Here is an 18,113-nt window from a genome sequence, read left to right as displayed (position 1 = left end):
CGGCCTCCCAAAGTGCTGGGATTATAGGCGTGAGCCACCATGCCTGGCCACATTTAATTTTAATCAGAATTTTGTCAGCATTGTATCTTTTTCATGAGCAAGTATTTTGCAGATGGAAGCTCCTTACGTGAATTTAGTTCCTTGGCTGGTCTTCTATCGAGTGTGTTTCAAACAGTTTCTAACTTATTATTTGTATGTTCATTTCCATTTCACTGAACTTATTTTCACTGGCATCCATATTTCCCCCTGTGACGTTTCCACTGAAGACTTCATCCTCCGAACAGTTTCCAGCCACATCCCAAGTTAGCTTCTGCCACCATGGGTTTCCTTTGCTAGCCATGGCTTTCTCCCAAGGTCAATGTTTCCGAGACAGATGTCATAAGTGCTAAATTTGGTTAGGAAGGTTTGATTCTAATCAAAATCAAGAGGTTTTCCTGGGTGCAGGTTTGGTTTGAGGTGGATGATTCTCCCAGTGAGATTTCTCCTGCCCTAAAGGACTAGGAGTCCTGCTGAGTCACCACAGCAAAGAGCATCACAGGTATAGAGCAACCTATCAGGGCTTGGGTCAAAGTGACATCCCCAGGGTCAAAGTGCCCTGAGTCTGGAGAGGGCCCAGGTCCTTGACAGCAGAATCAGGACTGGAAAAAAGTCAACAGAAACCACAACAACCCTGTTAAGGCAGGACTGAGAGCCCAGACTCGTTAGGAATGAAGGTTTGGGTCACCCCACCTGGCAAGGAACCATGACCGGCTCAGGTACCACCTTTTCTTCTGACGAAACTTCTGCCTTGGGCCCCTGGTGATTACTGTGTTGGGCCGAGTCTAAGAGGCCCTCGGCAATGTCTGCCTCCCAGTAGTCACACACTTCCTCTGGAGTGTGGACACTCGGTTCTAGCCAATGGGGTACACCAAAGGTGATGGGACAATGTCATTTCTGCAATGAGGTGATGTAAGTGTATGGCCTCCATCTTGCCAGCAGTGATGAAGCAACTGCCATTGTGGAGAGGCCCATGGGGCCAGGAGCTGAGGAGCTGAGGTCCTCCAGTCCAACAGTCTGCAGGGAGCTGAATTCTGCCAGAACCATGTGAGTTAGGAAGCAGATCCTTCCCCGGTGGTGCTTTCAGGTGAGATTGCAGACCCTGTTCTCCCACCCTGATTGTAGCCTTGTCAAAGACCCTAGAGCTTGGCCGGGTGCAGTGGTTCACACCTGTAATTCCAGCACTTTGGGAGGCTGGGGTGGGCAGATCACATGAGGTCAGGAGTTCAAGACCAGCCTGGCCAACATGGTGAAACCCTGTCTCTATTAAAAATACAAAAATTAGCCAGGCATGGTGGCATGTACCTGTAATCCCAGCTACTCAGGAAGATGAGACAGGAGAATCGCTTGAACCCAGGAGGCAGAAGTTGCAGTAAGCCAAGATCACACCACTGCACTCCAGCCTGGGTGACAGAGCAAGACTCTGTCTCAAAAAAAAAAAAAAAAAAAAAAAGACCCTAGAGCAAAGGACCTGAAGACACGGTGCAGCCTCCTGCCCCACAGAGACCAGGAGATCATAAATGTGTTTTGCTGTAAGCCTCCAAGTATTGTGCTAATTTATTTTGCACCAATGGACAATGAATCCACCAGGCAAACAAATAGCAATGACAGGAAGAAGAATTAGTAGTGGTAGTATAGAGATATGTTTGTGTATTGAACACCTACTATGTGCCGGGCACTGTGTTAAGTACTGCACAGGCTTTGTCTTGTTCCTTCCTCACATGAACCATATCCATGCTATGGTCACCTTTTACAGAGGAAGAAACTGAGGCTCAGAAAGGTCAAAATGACTGAGAGGCTCCAGAGCAAGGCCCAGAGCCTGGCTCTGAGCTAAGAGCTGGTGGGAGAGGCGGGAGGTGGCCCAGGAGCACCCACCCCAGTTTCTGTTTTCCAGATCCACTTTCCTCCATATCATTCTCCTCTTTGGGTGCAGACACCCTTCATCTTGTCACACAGTGATCACATGGACACAAATGCACCTGCAATATCTTTAGGCAGACAAACTTCCCAGAAAATAACAACAATTTTACCTGCACTTTTAAGAAGCATTTAATTCCTTCAATTGTCTGGTGGTCCATTTGCAGGGGAAACTGAACTACCTGATCATTTCTCACTTCACCTGCCATACGGGAAAGAGATTCAATTAGAAAAATCTATTGCTAATTTGAAAGCTCTGATTCTATAATTTCCTACAGGGAAGACATGTAAATTGCGTGTTATTTAACACCCTTTCATGGCAGGTGAGTTCCGCGGGGGGCCATTATAATCCACTCTCCCCTCTTCTTACAGATTCCTGACAAGGGGGAAGAGGGAGGAGGGAGAAGGAGGAGGAGGGAGAACAGGAGAGCATTTTGAAGGCTGACTCCAAGTGGCTTTAGGAACCCATAAGTTTGAAGGGCTTAAATTAAGCAGGGTCAGCTGATTGGTGCCTGCCGGCTCCCTGGGAACACAGGCCAGATTCCCTCCTCCAACCCTACAACTCCTCCTGCCTTCCCCTAACCATCTGGAAAATCACCATGGCAGGCGGAGGGGTCAGGATGCCCTGATCCACACTCTAGCCTCTGTCACCAGCTGTGTGGCACGTAGCTGTCCCTTAATCTCTCTGGCCCTGGTCTCCATCTGTGCAATGGGGAAAACTAACACCCCCAGCCTGAGCTGCTGGGAGGACCAAAGTCCATTTCAAGTGTAAAACACAAAAGGGGACTTTGCAAACTACAAAGCACTGTCCCCTGGTGAAGGGCGCTAGCACTGGGACCCGGACCCTAAAGAACCCACTCAGTGTCTCCCACCCTAAAAACTCCCTAGAAGGTTTTTCTCTAGAAGGACCCGAATCTTTCTGGCTAAGGGGTTTTCAAGATGAAACTATTTCTTCCCACACAATTATAGCAAACAGGCTCTTTGCAGCACCCCTACACACACACAGACACACACACACACCCCTGGGTAGATTCTCTGGAAGAATGTTTCAGAAGCCAAGGGGCCTCTGGGGGCCTCTGGGGTGGGGAGGTGGGGAGGGAGGGAGCAAAGAGACCTAGTTTTTACCGAATGCTTTTTGTACGGCTTAGATTTCTTTCCACCTTCCTTCCTATCAGGTGCACCCAATTACCCCTCAAAAGCATTCTTTTATACTTTTATACATTTATTCAGTTTTAACAAATGAAACATGTGACCCATGGCTCCTCCCTCCTTCCCCCACCCTGGATCCCTGGCTTCCTGGCCTCCCCTGCCTCATGCCAACATTCTGGCTCCCACGTTCCAGCACCTGCCCCAGCCAGACCCGGGGCCGGGCTCCAACCAGGGGCTGTCACTTCCACCTGGGCCCCCCTTGAAGCTGTCGACCTGGAGCTGGCTCTAGAGGGAAGAACAAAAGTGCGCTGCTCCTTTCAGGGAGCTGTGAGCAGACACACCCCCAAACACGAATGCACTGGGATGGGGCGACCTTGACAACACCCAGAGCCCTCCCGCCTAGCCGCCCTCCTTGCAGGCCCCACTGGCCGGCGGGCGCCACCTGCTGGACGCAAGCGAGAAGTGCACGCTGGTGCCCACTCATCTCCTTGGTCCTTCCAGACTGAGACGGGCACAGCGGTCTGCAGCCCTGGGCAATGTGTCCCGGGCTCCCGCCGGGGGCGCGACATCCTCCTCCCCACAAGTTTCTCCCAACAGCTGTTTCAGGTGTTTTTCCCAGACATGACGTTTTTACATGTTGGAGGTGTGTCAGACTAAAAATCTCCATTCACTCCCCAAATGTGCAGCGGGGCAGCCCAGTGACATGGTGACCAACAAGATGTTCATGGTCCCTGCAGGCTCTGAGGACCGGCGGCTGAGATTAAACAACTTATTACACAAAGAACCATTTAATTGCAAGCACAATCACGCTTAGTGGAGAAGGAGAGAACGGAGCACGGTTTAAGATGATCTCCTCACCAGTTCTGCAAGGTAGGATTCATTGCTATATTACAGAGGAGGCTCAGAGAGGTGCAGTGACTCCCCTAATATCACACAGCAAGAGAAGGTGGGGCTCAGATAGGGACCCGGGTCGTCCAGGCCCCAGGAGGCTGGGAAGGTGCAGGGTCCCCAATAGACCCACTGCCAGTTTGCAGAAATAGCCTCCAACCCCCTCCCTCACAAGGGTCCAGGGAGCAGCTCTTTCCCCAAAGGCTGGTTTCAGCAGGTTGCAACCACTGCTAGGGGTTATAGGGGTTACACCAGGCCCCCTGCAAGAGCTGCAGACTCTCTTGTCTAAAACGACAAGCAGACAGAACGGAGTCCTCAGACACTGTCCCCGAGAGACCACCTTCCTCTGCCTCTGCTCACCTCCCTTTTCAGCAAACTAGCCCACCATCCTTCATAACAGAAGAGGGGCCTGCAGTAAAACATAGCATGCCTGGGCCCCCTACAAATTGCCATCTCCTCCCTGGCCTCAGTTTCCCTGCCTGTCTATATAATGAGAGGTCAGACCGGCTGGTCTAAAGGTCAAGGTTGATCGAAGCACTCTAACTCTCCCCACCCACCTCCCTTCATCAGCCAGTGCAGAGACACACACGCCCCTCCATGGTGCTGGATGTCCTCAGTTTTCCCAAAATGACCTGGCTTTGAAAGACCAAGGCCAAAATGGTTTGGCGGTGACTGTGGAGGCCAGCAGGACTCCCTGGCCACACGGTGACTCAAAGAGGCAGCCGGCAGGACAGCCCTGTCTCCCCTTGGGACAGTGATGCAATCCATGGGCAGCTGGGAGGGCTCCGCGGGCCAGACTGCTGGGCAGGCCCCCTCGCTTTCTGAGTTTCGGGCCCTCACTGTAACCTGCAGACCCTCCTTGAGCTGGAATCCAAAGCCCTCCTATGTGTGAGTCCTGCACTTCTCTAAAAGTGGTGGAAAAGACAGGCCAGGTTCGAGTCCAGCTCCCAACCCACCACTGCTGTTTTCAAAGCCTTGTGCCCTTGGGCAGGTCACCTCACTCACCCACTGCTGTCCTGTCTCATTCCCATGTGGATGTCGGTGACACCTGCCTCCCAGGTGGTGGCAGGTAAGACGAGATGATCCCGTCAGCAGAGGGCAGAGTGCCTCGGGGGAATTGGTGCTCACAGAGTTAGCCCTGATGGAGATGGCTGCCCAGGCTGGACCTTGTCAGCCTCCCCAGATGATGGATGAATAATGGATGGGCAGGCCGGGCGCAGTGGCTCACTCCTGTAATCCCAGCACTTTGGGAGGCTGAGGCGGGTGGATCACCTGAGGTCAGGAGTTCGAGACCAGCCTGACCAACATGCTGAAACCCTGTATCTACTAAATACAAAAAATTAGCTGGGTGTGGTGGTGTGTGACTGTAATCCCAGCTACTTGGGAGGCTGAGGCAGGAGAATCGCTTGAACCTGGGAGGCGGAGGTTACAGTGAGCTGAGATAGCACCATTGAACTCCAGCCTGGGCAACAAAAGCGAAACTCTGAAAAGAAAGAAAGAAGGAAAGAAAGAAAGAGAGAGAGAGGAAAGAAAGAAAGAGAGAGAGAGGAAAGAAAGAAAGAGAGAGAAAAGAAAGGAAGAAAGAAAGAAAGAAGAAAGAAAGAGGGAGGGAGGGAGGAAGGAAGGAAAAGGAAGAAAGAAGAAAGAAAGAAAACAAAGAAAGAAAGGAAAGAGAGAGAGAAAAGAAAGAGAAAGAAAGAAAGAAAGAAAAGAAGAAGAAAGAAAGAGGGAGGGAGGGAGGGAGGGAGGGAGGAAGGAAGGAAGGAAGGAAAAGAAAGAAGAAAGAAAAGGAAGGAAAAGAAAGAAAGAAGAAAGAAAGAAAAGAAAGAAAGAGAGAGAAAGAAAGAAAGAGTAAGAAAGAGAAAGAAAGACTGGATGGGCAAATTTGGACCGTGCACACACCAACCACCTTGCACAATGCTTGGTACTCTCACATCCGTGACTTCACTTAGCCCCCATAAAACCCCTGCTTCCATCATTTTCCAGCTGGGGAAACTGAGGCCCAGAAAAGAGACATTCCCAGTGTCACGCAGTGCTGGGTTCCAGCTGGGCAGTGCTGGAATCAAACCCCGGTCAACAGGGAGAGTCAGCTGCAGTTTGTCAGTGGAACAGCCTGAGCCGTGCGGCCGCGTTTCGCCAGAAAATCACTCCCTGCTCATCATAACCGGCACCTCTCCATGTCGGCCACACGAGGGCAGCAGCGCCCCGGCCATCGCCGGGCTTCGCACTGAGGCTTCTTCCATCCCTGCTGAGAACGACTGGGCGGTTGCAGCCAGCAAGGCTCAGAGGAGGAAGGGGCCACGTCGGGGACCTCTAGGGTCTGCGAGGGGCCCAGGCTGTGTCCTGCCCCCTCCGCTGCCTTGGTGCATGAAAGACTCCACTTCTTCTGTGAAATGGAGGCTTGTGTCCCCACCCAGGCAGCCCAGGCTCCGGATAACATCAAGTGCCTCTGCCAGGCTGGGGTGCGGCGAATAATCAAAAGAAGCACGGAACCACTGACCAGGTCCAAGTCTCCATTTCACAGAAGTGGAGGCTTCATGGTATCACTGCCTCCGTGCAGAAGAAAAGGAGACTCCAGAGGCTGACGCAATTTGCCTGAGGTAGACGCAGAGTCAGACTCAGAGGCCGTATTGGTTCGTCCCACCGTCTTCCAGAGAGAATGGGCTGCCTCCTGGAGCCCTGACCCACCCACGACAGCCCCCAGGATGTCCTACAGCCAGTTGCAAACTCAGTTTGTCCAAAGCCATTGCCCTTCCCTCTCTGTCTTCTGTCAGTGGGAGGCACCACTGCACAGAGACCCCCAGCCTGAAACCTGGCATCTCCCAAAACTTCTCTGAGCTCCTTAACCCCACATCTCCCATCCAACTCATCACCAAACTCTGTGGATTCTCCCCAGGCCCGTTTTTTAAGATGACAAAAATTGCCTTGAACTACATCTGGGCTGTGATTTCGGATTGGGACACACACTCTTCAGTTTGCTACAGGCTTCACCGCTCCCTGCTGCATCCCCAGCTCTGGGGGCCCAGGTCAGCTGCTGTCGAGCACTGGGCTTCACTGATGTGCTTTTTACAGCGAGGGAGTATTTCCTTGCCCCATCAAGTGTGCAGGAAAGAAAGCTGGGCAGAGAAGTCTGCCTATTTGAAGAAAAAAAATCAGAAACAATTTTCTTCAGGTGACAGAAGGCAATTTTTAAGAAGCATGCAACCAAAATGCATTATATGTAAACTGTGTAATATCTAATATTTTTTACGCTCAGCCCACGTTATACATTTTTGCCACCTGTCTGGCCACTGTAGGCTTTGGAGGTTGCAACCCCCAGGTGATAATAATCACAGAAGAGACTTACAGTGAGATAGCGAGATGGGGGTGGGTGTGGGCAGAGGGAGAGGAAGAGTCAAGCCATTTAGATAACTTGGGTTTCCTCTCCAGGCCCCAAAAAGCAGGAAGGGGGCGCGTAGAGTACTACCTCCTATCCTATTTTGTCCAAAGCCAGATTCATAATCATTGCCACTTCCATGCACACCCTTCTCAGTTTCCCACCCGATTCCCATAGACGGGGCCCCTCCACTATCTCCTGCCCACAGTATAAGTCGTAAAGTCTCCCAAACCTCAACCAGGTGAACAATAGTGCCTGATGTCACCCAGGTCCTATTGCAATGATTATGTGTTTTTTCTTTAAGCTGTTAATGGAATGAATTATATTAATTAATTTCCTAATAATAGGAATTGCATTCATAAGATAAACATAACTTCATCATAATATGCTGGGGTTTTTTGTTTTTGTTTTTTTTTTCTTTGAGATGGAGTCTCACTCTGTAGCCCAGGCTGGAGTGCAGTGGCACGATCTCGGCTCACTGCAACCTCTGCCTCCAGGGTCCAAGAGATTCTCCTGCCTCAGTCTCCCAAGTAGCTGGGACTACAGGCGCCTGCCACCACACCTGGCTAATTTTTTGTATTTTTAGTAGAGACGGGTTTTACCATGTTGCCCAGGTGGTCTCAATCTCCTGAGCTCGGGCAATTCACCTGCCTCGGCCTCCCAAAGTGCTGGGATTATAGGCGTGAGCCACTGCACCCGGCCTGTACTGTATTTTTTATTATTATTGCTGAATTCACTGTGCTAATAATTTTCAAGAATTCTTGGAATCTATGCTCATGGGTAAAATTGACTTGAAAGTTTTCTTTATTGTACTGTCATCATCTGATTAGCCAGCTTATGCTAACCGAATAAGGTAAACTGGTAAGTGTTGACTGTGTTTCTCCACTGTGGAGTAGAAATTTGGGTAAGCTTGAACTGATTTGTTCTTTGACTGTTTAGCCAAATTAGGATTTGGTTCATCCCACCATCTTCCAGAGAGAGCTGGGCTATTAATTTGGTGAATTCCAAATTCACATATCTGGAATTGTCATCTGGGACAGACGTTTTCTTTATAGGAAGATTTTAAACTACTAAATTAATGTATTAAGTGATTATAGGACCTTTCAGGTTTTCTGTTTTTTCTTGAGTCAACTTCAGTAAATTGTATTTTTCTAGGAATTTGGCAATTTTGTTTAAGACTTCTTATGTATTGGCATACAGTCACTTATAACAGTCTTGTGATATTTAATATTATTCATTTACTCTATGAAAAATCTAGAATTATGTCCCTTCTTTCATCCCTAGTATTGTTTATCTGTGCTCTCTCTTATGTCTTAAACTTGTAAGAGATTTTTATAATTTTTTAGTCCTTTCAAAAAATAATATTTTGTCTTTGATTCTCTTCCCTACTTAGGTTTGTTTTCCGGTTTTTTTGTTTGTTTGTTTGTTTTTTGTTTTTTTGTGTGATGGCATCTCACTCTGTTGCCCAAGCTGGAGTACAGTGGTGTGATCTCAGCTCACTGCAGCCTCCCAACTCCTGGGTTCAAGTGATTCTCCTGCCTCAGCCTCCCGAGTAGCTGGGACTACAGGTGCCCACCACCACGCCTGGCTTATTTTTGTATTTTTTAGCAGAGACAGGGTTTTGCCATGTTGGCCAAGCTGGTCTTGAACTCCTGGTCTCAAGTGATCCACCTGCCTCGGCCTCTCAAAGTGCGGGATTACAGGTGTAAGCCACCATTCCCAACCATTTAGGTTTGTTTTCTACGTCATTAATTTCTGTGCTTTTTTTTTAGATGGAGTCTCGCTCTGTCACCCAGGCTGGAGTGCAGTGGCATGATCTCGGCTCACTGCAAGCTCCACCTCCCAGGTTTATGCCATTCTCCCGCCTCAGCCTCCTGAGTAGCTGGGACTACAGGTGCACACCACCATGCCTGGCTAATTTTTTTGTATTTTTAGTAGAGACGGGGTTTCACCTGTGTTAACCAGGATGGTCTCAATCTCCTGACCTCATGATCTGCCCACCTTGGCCTCCCAAACTGCTGGGATTATAGACATGAGCCACCACGCCTGGCCCTAATTTCTGTTCTTAACATTTGATTCCTTTTAATATCTTGGGGTTTATTCTGCTGTTCTTATTTTAACTTTTAAGTCAGATGCTTAGTTCGTTCATTTGAAGCATTTCTTTTTTCTTCTTCTTTTGTTTTATTTTTGAGACAGAGTCTTTCTCTTTTGCCCATGCTGGAGTGCAGTGGCACCATCTCAGCTCACTGTAACTTTCACCTCCTGGGCTCAAGCAATCCTCCTGCCTCAGCCTCCAAAGTAACTGGGACTACAGGTGTGCACCACCATGCCCAGCTAATTCTTGTATTTTTTGTAGAGACATGGTTTTGCCAGGTTGCCCAGGCTGGTCTCGAACTCCTGGGCTCAAGCAATCCACCCACCTCGGCCTCTCAAAGTTCTGAGATTACAGACGTGAGCCACCACACCTGGGCCATGAAGCATTTCTTATTTGCCAATACAAGCATTTAAGATTATAAACACTCCTCTAAATACTGCTTTGGTTGGATCTCACAAGTCGTGATGCAAAACATTTTTGTGAATGCTCAATTCTAAGTATTTTCTAATTTTAGTTGTGATTTCGTTTTTGGACCGCGAGTTGTTTGGATGTACTGTTTTTCCTAAAGTACAGGCATTTGCTTGTTGTCTTTTTGGTTATTAACATCTAACTTGTTTAGATTGTGATCAGAGAATATAGTCTGTGTACACATTGTGGTGGAAGCTATGACTACAGCACAGCTTCCTCTTCCGGAACGAAGGACTTAGTCCCCCAGCTGCTGCGAGAGCTGCTGGAGGATGGCCCCCAGCTGTCTGCTCTCTTAGGAAGTTATGTGGGCTGAGGAAATTGACTTGCCCAGTCAAGACCATGCCTCCTTCAATGAGCAGCCTGCATGCAATGGCTGCTCAGGGTGAGAATGTAAAGGCCTGGTTCCTTACCAACTCACACCCTTCTGAAGGACTACCCAGCTCCAGCACTCTCTGCGGAGCTGGCAGAGGCTTCCGTGGGTATTGCATTGCTGCTCCACCTCTCCATCTGTGCAGACCTGTCTCATCCCATGCATTCCACAAGTGCTGATCCAAGGAATGTTCCCAAATAAAATTCCTGCACCCCAATCCCCATCTCAGAGCCTGACTCCCAGGAGATCCGACCTACCAGCCTGATCTTGGACGTGCATTGAGGTTAGCTTTATAGTCTATGATACTTTCCAAATGTCCCATGCATGCTTGAAAAGAATGTGTTCTCCCCCATTTCGGGGTTTCATATGCTACATGTTGATTATATGAAACTTGTCATTGTGTTCCTCAAATCTTTGATTTCTTCACCAAAATGGCCTAAAAATATCCCATCCTAAAGGTGGAGATATCTATTCTTGTCCCTTCCATTTTTGCTTTATATTTTTTGCAGCTATGATGATATTATATATAAATTGAGAACTGGTACAGCTTCCTGGTGAATTGAGCCTTCCACCATTATCTAGTGACTCTGGATCACTAGATAATGGAGTGCAATGGCACGATCTCAGCTCACTGCAACCTCCACCCCCTGGGTTCAAGCGATTCTCTTGCCTAAGCCTCCCGAGTAGCTGGGATTACAGGTGTGCACCACCACACCTGGCTAATTTTTTGTCTCTTTAGTAAAGACGGGGTTTCTCCATGTTTTTTAGGCTGGTCTCGAACTCCCAACCTCAGGTGATCCACCTGCCTCAATCTCCCAAAGTGCTGGGATTACAGACGTGAGCCACTGTGCCCGGCCACATATTTTTTCTATACTTGGACTTTCAACAGTTCTTGGTTCCTATGTTTGAGGTATGGGATTATGCTCTCTTGTAAACAGAACATAATCTCTGTTTTTAAAATTCATTCAGACAGTCATCTTTCAACTAAAGTGTTTAGTCCTTTAATATGAATTACTGACAACATAAATGTAGATTAATTTCCATGGTCTCATAATGTATTTTCTATTCATTCTATATTTCCTACCCTCAGCCCCCTTTCTAATCTTCCTTTGTATCATTTGAGATTTTTATCTTCTTTTTCTTATCCTATTTTTTCTTTCTAATTATTTAGAAGTTATCAGCTCTATGACTAGTTTTTAGTGCTTACTCTAGCTATCTTAACACTGAGCACTTAACAAAGTCTAAACTTAATATATTTGCCTTCTCCCCAAATAATGGAAAGACATTCACAACTTGAATTTTGAGCATCCGTCCCATATTATATGGTATTGTCCAGTATTTTAATACTAGCCCATTTTTCCTACCATAAGTTAGGCATTATTATCGTGGAGTCCTATACTCCGTTGTTGTTTAGTTTTCCATCAAATGTTTCCAACATATGTGCCCATTGTTCCTTCTTGTATGCCTTGCCTTTTCTCTGGAATAATTTTGATTCTGTCTGAACTACATTACATTTAAATGTGTCCTTAGTGAAGATCTTTTGGAGGTAAAATCTCACCATTTCTTTTTGTCTGAATATGTCTTCATTTCACCCTCAGTTCAGTAGGATAGTAAAGAGTTCTAAGTTGACCGTTGTTTTTTTTCCAGCACATGAAAGATATAATTCCACTGTCTCCTGGTTTCCATTGAGGATAGTGATACATCAGCTGTAAATGATCCTTTAGAGTTTTTTTGTTTGTTTGCTTGTCTTGTTTTGTTTTGGGGGGCTTTTGTTTGTTTGTTTGTTTTTGAGGCGTAGTTTCACTCTTGTTGCCCAGGCTGGAGTGCAATGGGGTGATCTCGGCTCACTGCAACCTCCGCCACATGAGTTCAAGTGATTCTCCTGCCTCAGTCTTCCCAGTAGCTGGGATTATAAGTGCCCACCGCCATGCCAGGCTAATTTTTGTATTTTTAGTAGAGACAGTGTTTCACCATGTTGGCCAGGATGGCCTTGGACTCCTGACCTCAGGTGATCTGCCCACCTCGGCCTCCCAAAGTGCTGGGATTACAGGTGTGAGCCACGGCGCCTAGCCAGATGCTTTCAACATCTCTTTTTCTCTGATGTTCCATAGTTTTCTTGGGATGTATGTAAATGTGAATTTCTTTTTATTTATCTTGCTTGGGATTCACTGGGCTTCCTGGATCTGAGATTTGTTATGTATAATTTCACAAAAGTATCAGCCATTACCTCTTCGTGTATTGCCCGTTCTCCTATTCTGTTAGCTCCTTCTAGAACTCTAAATACACGTACATTAGGCCCTGCCACTTAATTTTTCTGGATAATTCCTTTGGTTCTACTAGCTTATTAAACCTCTCTTTGGCTGTGTGTAATCTGCTGCTCGCTCTGCTCATTTCAAATTTCAAATGCTACATTTTTCACTTCTGTACATTTTATTTGATTCTTTTTCAAATCTGGTTGTTCCTTTTTTTTTTTTTTTTTTTTTTTTTTTTTTAGATGGAGTCTTCCTCTGTCTCCCAGGCTGGAGTGCAAATGGCACGATCTCGGCTCACTGCAACCTCTGCCTCCCGGGTTCAAGCCATTCTCCTGCCTCAGCCTCCCAAGTAGCTGGGATTACAGGCACATGCCTTCACACCCAGCTAATTTTTGTATTTTTAGTAGAGACAGAGTTTTACCATGTTGACCAGGCTGGTCTCAAACTCCTGACCTCAAGTGATCCACCCACCTCAGCCTCCCAAAGTGTTGGGGTTACGGGCGTGAGCCACCGCGCTCAGCCCTGGTTGTTCCTTATGCTCTCTTATTCCCTGAACTTCAATTTTAATTGTTTGAAAACATAAAACTAGTTATTTTAAGTGTATATTCTGCCTGTGATCATTTCAAATCTGAAAGCTCTAAGGTTCCACTTGTACTGTCTCTTGTTTCTGCTGGTTCTCTTATCTTCCTTGTGAAGTTTATTAATTTTCACTGGGAGCTGCTCATTTTCTTGGGGACTTTGTGGACATTTCTATAAGGCTGAGATTGTAGCTGAATTCCTCGAGGAAGGTTTAAGGTTTGCTTCTGCAAGCTGACTGCGGGTACTATCAAGCAGGGGCCAGTTTCAATTTTCAACTTGAGTTTTTTTAAACCACACAAGTAGCAGGAATTCAAACTGAAAATCACGTGAGGGCCAGCTTGTGGTTACAGATTCTCAGTGGAGATATGTTTCTCTCAACCCAATGTCAAGGTCAGGGCAGGCAGGCTTCCTTTCTGTTCTCCTCTGCGGGGTGAGATTTGCTTTTCATTCTTTCTGACACTCTAGACATAGACCTTTTGGACTCAGGCTTTGAAGAGGTCTCCTATTACAGCCCCCCTTGGGGGAAGCCCAGACTTTATCTCCTGTCCCTTGCACCTCACACAGCTATGGAAACACAGGCTCCAAGTCTCCAAGGCGTCTACCTTTGCTTCATGTTGGAGATCCGTAACTTTCTTGCTTTCATGCTAACTCAGCAATGTGTAAAAAAAAAAACAAAGATTAAAACAATATTTTATCCAGCATTTTGGTTATAATCAGGGGAGTGATTAAAGGTATCGAATCTGGCAGAGTGCCAGAAACAGAAGCTCTCTCTCTCTCTCTCTGAGAACTTTCCAGAGTGTGCCTTGGCCGTGAGCCCATGCTTTTCTTTTAACACACACAAGAGCATATTCACAGATGTATCTGTGGGTTGCTGTTGCTGTTGTTGCAGTGTGTCCTCTTACATGGGCTTTTCAAGGGCCAGGAGGAAGGGAAAGTTAGGGGCTCTCAACCTTGATGTGGACATGAAACAATGAAGACTCTGGAGAAATGTATGGAGAAAGTTGAATAATGGAGTGATGGCTGTTATATGCGTGCAGCATATTTGCACGTCACCCGTTGTTAATCACAGCTTCCCCTCTGTACCGGGGAATGCATTTCAACCAGGATATGGTCACAGAAAGCTTCAAAACTGACCTGCAAAAAAAAAGTTTTCGTGCCACAAAATGAAAATGCTTCTTGCCAGTTGGAATCACACCAACCAAAGCTGGGCCTGTGGATCTTAGCAGCCCTAACCAGAAGGCCCAACCGACGGGCGTCAAGAGCCTGGCAGGGAAAGCGCTGGACTGTCTGATGGAGCGTGCATGCTTCAACCCTCATCTTTCTTAAAATGGAAGCAATCCCGGTCCCTAAATATACATGGGTCTTTCAAAACCTTGCTCCTTCTCCCACCTACCTTCACACTTCTGACTCAAGGGGGAAAAATAGCCCTCCAGCAATTCATCTCCTTCACGGGCTGCCGGCAAGCTTATAATTTTTTTTCACAGCTGAGTTATTTCTGATCTATGTCCTGGCAAAAAGAAATATAGAGCAACAGTGGCTGGGAGACGTTTGGAAGCTGTGCCAAGCCAAACAGTGTCTAAAAGTCTACATTTGAGCCGCCAACCTTGGGAAAGTGTGTTTTAACTCTACAAAAAAAAAAAAAAAAAAAAAAAAAAAAAACACACACCAAAAACCTTAAAACACTCGTGATGTAAAACGAACTTAAAATGAGGGTCAGAAAGGAACTCTCATGAGTTATAACGGGAGGCAGCCCCCCAGCCCCTGAACGTGTGGTCTCACATACCCCTTCTGAAGGCATCAGAAGAACCACAAAGCATTGCAGCTCAGCAGGTCCCAGAGGCCCCTGGGGACAGCGAAGCTTGGAGGTGACAGACAAGCTTGTGAACCTCACCACACTGCGGTTGACGCCTTCTTCACCTCTTAGCCGGGTGCTCCTGGGCAATGCATTTGACCTGAGCCTTCAGTTGCTGAACTGTAAAACTGATGCTAGAAAACCCACCTTGTGAGGTCAACACAGCAATCAGATAAAATTATATAGGCAATCACACATAATCACAGTGCTTAGAGAGTGCTAGTGCTTACTAAGTGCTCACGATGACAAATGCCGCGTTTGTATTGTTGTACTGATGCTTAGTAGATGATAATGATAATGATGAGGTTGATGATGATAAAGGAGGAGGAGTAGAAGAAATTGAATCTGAGAGAGAGAGAGAGAGACATGATTAAAGTAATTTTAGGCCAGGAGCACTGGCTCATGCCTGTAATCCCAGAAATTTGGGAGGCTGAGGTGTGAGGATCGCTGGAGCCCAGGGGTTCAAGACCACCCTGGGTAACATGGCAAAACCCCGTCTCTACAAAAAATACAAAAATTATCAGGGCCTGATGGTGTGCACCTGTAGTCCCAGCTACTCCGGAGGCTGAGGTAGGAGGATTGCTTGAGCCCAGGAGGTCAAGATTGCAGTGAGCTGCGATTGTGCCATTGCACTCCAGCCTGGACAACAGAGTGAGATCCTGTCTCAAAAAAATAAAAAATAACATGATTTTTAAAAAACAGTCAGTGGCAGACACAGGATTATAGCCTTGCTCTCCTGACCTCCAGTCCTGTATTCTTTCTACCGTTACTAACATTGCAGTCATTCTTTTAGTATTACTATTAACCACCAACAGTTCTAAACGGGTCTAATGCTCATTCAGTGCTCCCACGCACATCTTCTTAGCACTGTTTCATGTCAACTTTGTGAGGAAATCTGGAGACACCCATTTTGCAGATGAAGAAATTGAGGCAGAGAAATAAAATGATTTGTCCAATTCCAGTAAGCCAATAGCAGAACTGGGGTCTGAACTTGGATCTCTTGGGGGAAGGTCAACCCTGGTTTTGTCTTCTAAAACATCAAACTAGGATTGATTGAGGCTGGGTCCTCTGCTGACTCAGGGGACTTGGACAGGATTTGGAACCGTTCCTTGTCCTGAGGACACTCACTGACTAATGGGCCAGACAGACATTAAAAGTTAAAATACATAAGGGCTTCCAGGCCCAGCACGGTGGCTCATACCTGTAATCGCAGCAATTTGGGAGGCTGAGGAATATGGATCACCTGAGGTCAGGAGTTCGAGACCAGCCTGGCCAACATGGTGAAACCCCATCTCTACTAAAAATACAAAAATTAGCTGGGCGTGGTGGCGCGTGCCTGTAATCCCAGCTACTTGGGAGGCTGAGGCAGGAGAATCACTTGAACCTGGGAGGTGGAGGTTGCAGTGAGCCGAGATCGTGCCATTTGCACTCCAGCCTGGGTGACAGAGTAAGACTCTGTCTCAAAGAAAATAATTAAATAACAAAAAATAAAATAAAATAAAATGAGAGTAGAACTAATTGAACATCTCTTCGAGGATGTTAAAGCCCCAGAGTCTTCTCCCCAGCTCCAGGAAGCCATGCAACACACCTCTCAACCACTCCCTGGCAGGGACCTAGAGGTTTATACTCTGGAAAGAGTGAGAGAGATCCTCTGGACAGGTGCATATGGAATGCTGAGAATCCTACAACTTTCCTCCCACCCTTGTCCTAGAACACTAGCAGCCGGTCCTTCACTGTCAGGCAAGAGACTGGAAGAGGTTTCTTCAGGGAATCTTACCAGCCCAGGGAAAATGTCTTTATACAGAGACATTTCCCAAACCAATCCTCCCAGTCAAATGACCTTCAGGAAAGCTCTTATCACCAAGCGCCACTCACACACTCAGAAGGACCAATCCCATGAACAGGCAACCAAGGATTGTTAGACTTGGGAGGAAAGCAGCAAAGCTGAAACAAATGACTCAGGTAAAAGTAACTTGGAAGAAATAGAAACTATTTTAGGGGAGGAAAACTTTCTTTTTTTCAGAGATGGGGTCTCACTCTGTTGCCCAGGCTGGAGTACAGTGGCATGTTCATAGCTCATTGTAACCTTGAACTCCTGGGCTCAAGCAATCCTCTCGTCTCAGCCTTCCTAGAATCTAGCACTACAGGCATGCACCACCATGCCCAGCTAATTTTAAAAACAATTTTTTTGTACAGATGGAGTCTCTCCATGTTGCCCAGGCTGGTCTCGAACTCCTGGCCTCAAGCAATCTTCCTGCTTTGGTCGCCCAAAGCACTGGGGTTATAGGCATGAGCCACCACATACGCCCTAGGAAAAAATTTTAAAAGCTGCCATTGACATTCTTAGAGAAAGAAAAGAAGAAGATATTATACTCATGAAACAAGAACAGGACACTGCAAAAAATGAATATTCTGAGAATCTAAAAAGAGCTCTTGGAAACTAAAAACAGCAGAGATTTTAAACAATTAGTAGAAGAGCTGGAATATAAATTTGAGGAAATATACCAAAAGGACAGAGATGCAAAACAGAAGGTATGATGATTAATTTTATGCATCAATTTGGCTGGATCGTGGGGTGCCCACATATTTTGCTAAACATTATTCTAGAATGTGTCTGTTGAGGGTCCTCCCTGAGGAGATCAACATTTGACTCAGTAGCCTGAGTAAAGCAGATGGCCCTCCCCAATGTGGGCAGGCACCATCCAAATCTTGAGGCCCTGAATAGAACAGAAAGGTGGAGGAAGGGCAAATTTGCTGTGTGCCTGACTGCTTGAGCTGGACGTGGGTCTTTTTCTGCCCTCAGACTAGGACTGACAGGAACCCCATTAGCCCTTGGGTTCTCAGAGCTATACCACCAGCTTTCCTGAGTCTCCAGCTTTCAGACAGCAGATTGCGGGACTTCTCTCATGAGACACACACACACACACACACACACAGTTGGTTCTGTTTCTCTGGAGAGACTTCATACAGAAGTGGGGAAAAAAACAATGGAGCAGTTCAAGACATCCATTTATTTATTTATATATTTTATTTTATTTTTGTAGAGACGGGGTTTCACCGTGTTGCCCAGGCTGGTCTCAAACTCCTGGACTCAAGCAATCTGCCCACCTCAGCCTCCCAAAGTGCTAGGA

At 46.8% G+C, this 18,113-nt stretch overlaps 1 long non-coding RNA gene across 3 annotated transcripts, besides 2 other annotated features; it reads left to right on the top strand.

Moving 5' to 3' along the window:
- Positions 1–651: 651 nt before the first annotated feature.
- LOC105373053 (uncharacterized) lies at positions 652–18,065 on the top strand. Of its 3 annotated transcripts, none has more exons than XR_938288.3 (4): positions 652–755; positions 976–1,123; positions 3,840–3,972; positions 18,027–18,065. It is a non-coding gene; the product is annotated as an uncharacterized LOC105373053 (long non-coding RNA). The 3 variants fall into 3 exon arrangements; XR_001755577.2 differs by lacking the exon at positions 18,027–18,065 and adding an exon at positions 5,977–12,056; XR_007068121.1 differs by lacking the exon at positions 18,027–18,065 and adding an exon at positions 5,977–8,748 and having other exon boundaries at positions 979–1,123.
- Positions 2,840–3,418: an enhancer, noted in NCBI's record as "H3K27ac-H3K4me1 hESC enhancer chr22:43784647-43785225 (GRCh37/hg19 assembly coordinates)". NCBI's record gives its function as "activates a minimal SCP1, AML or CMV promoter by ChIP-STARR-seq in naive and primed H9 embryonic stem cells {active_cell/tissue: H9 hESC(naive and primed)}" and the evidence as "EXISTENCE:reporter gene assay evidence [ECO:0000049][PMID:30033119]".
- Positions 3,419–3,997: an enhancer, noted in NCBI's record as "H3K27ac-H3K4me1 hESC enhancer chr22:43784068-43784646 (GRCh37/hg19 assembly coordinates)". NCBI's record gives its function as "activates a minimal SCP1, AML or CMV promoter by ChIP-STARR-seq in primed H9 embryonic stem cells {active_cell/tissue: H9 hESC(primed)}" and the evidence as "EXISTENCE:reporter gene assay evidence [ECO:0000049][PMID:30033119]".
- Positions 18,066–18,113: the final 48 nt, after the last annotated feature.

Source organism: Homo sapiens, chromosome 22, assembly GCF_000001405.40.
Source record: "Homo sapiens chromosome 22, GRCh38.p14 Primary Assembly".
Classification (NCBI taxonomy): Eukaryota; Metazoa; Chordata; class Mammalia; order Primates; family Hominidae; genus Homo; species Homo sapiens.
Note: the sequence above shows the minus strand (reverse complement) of the source record. Positions and strands in the feature narration are given on the sequence as shown.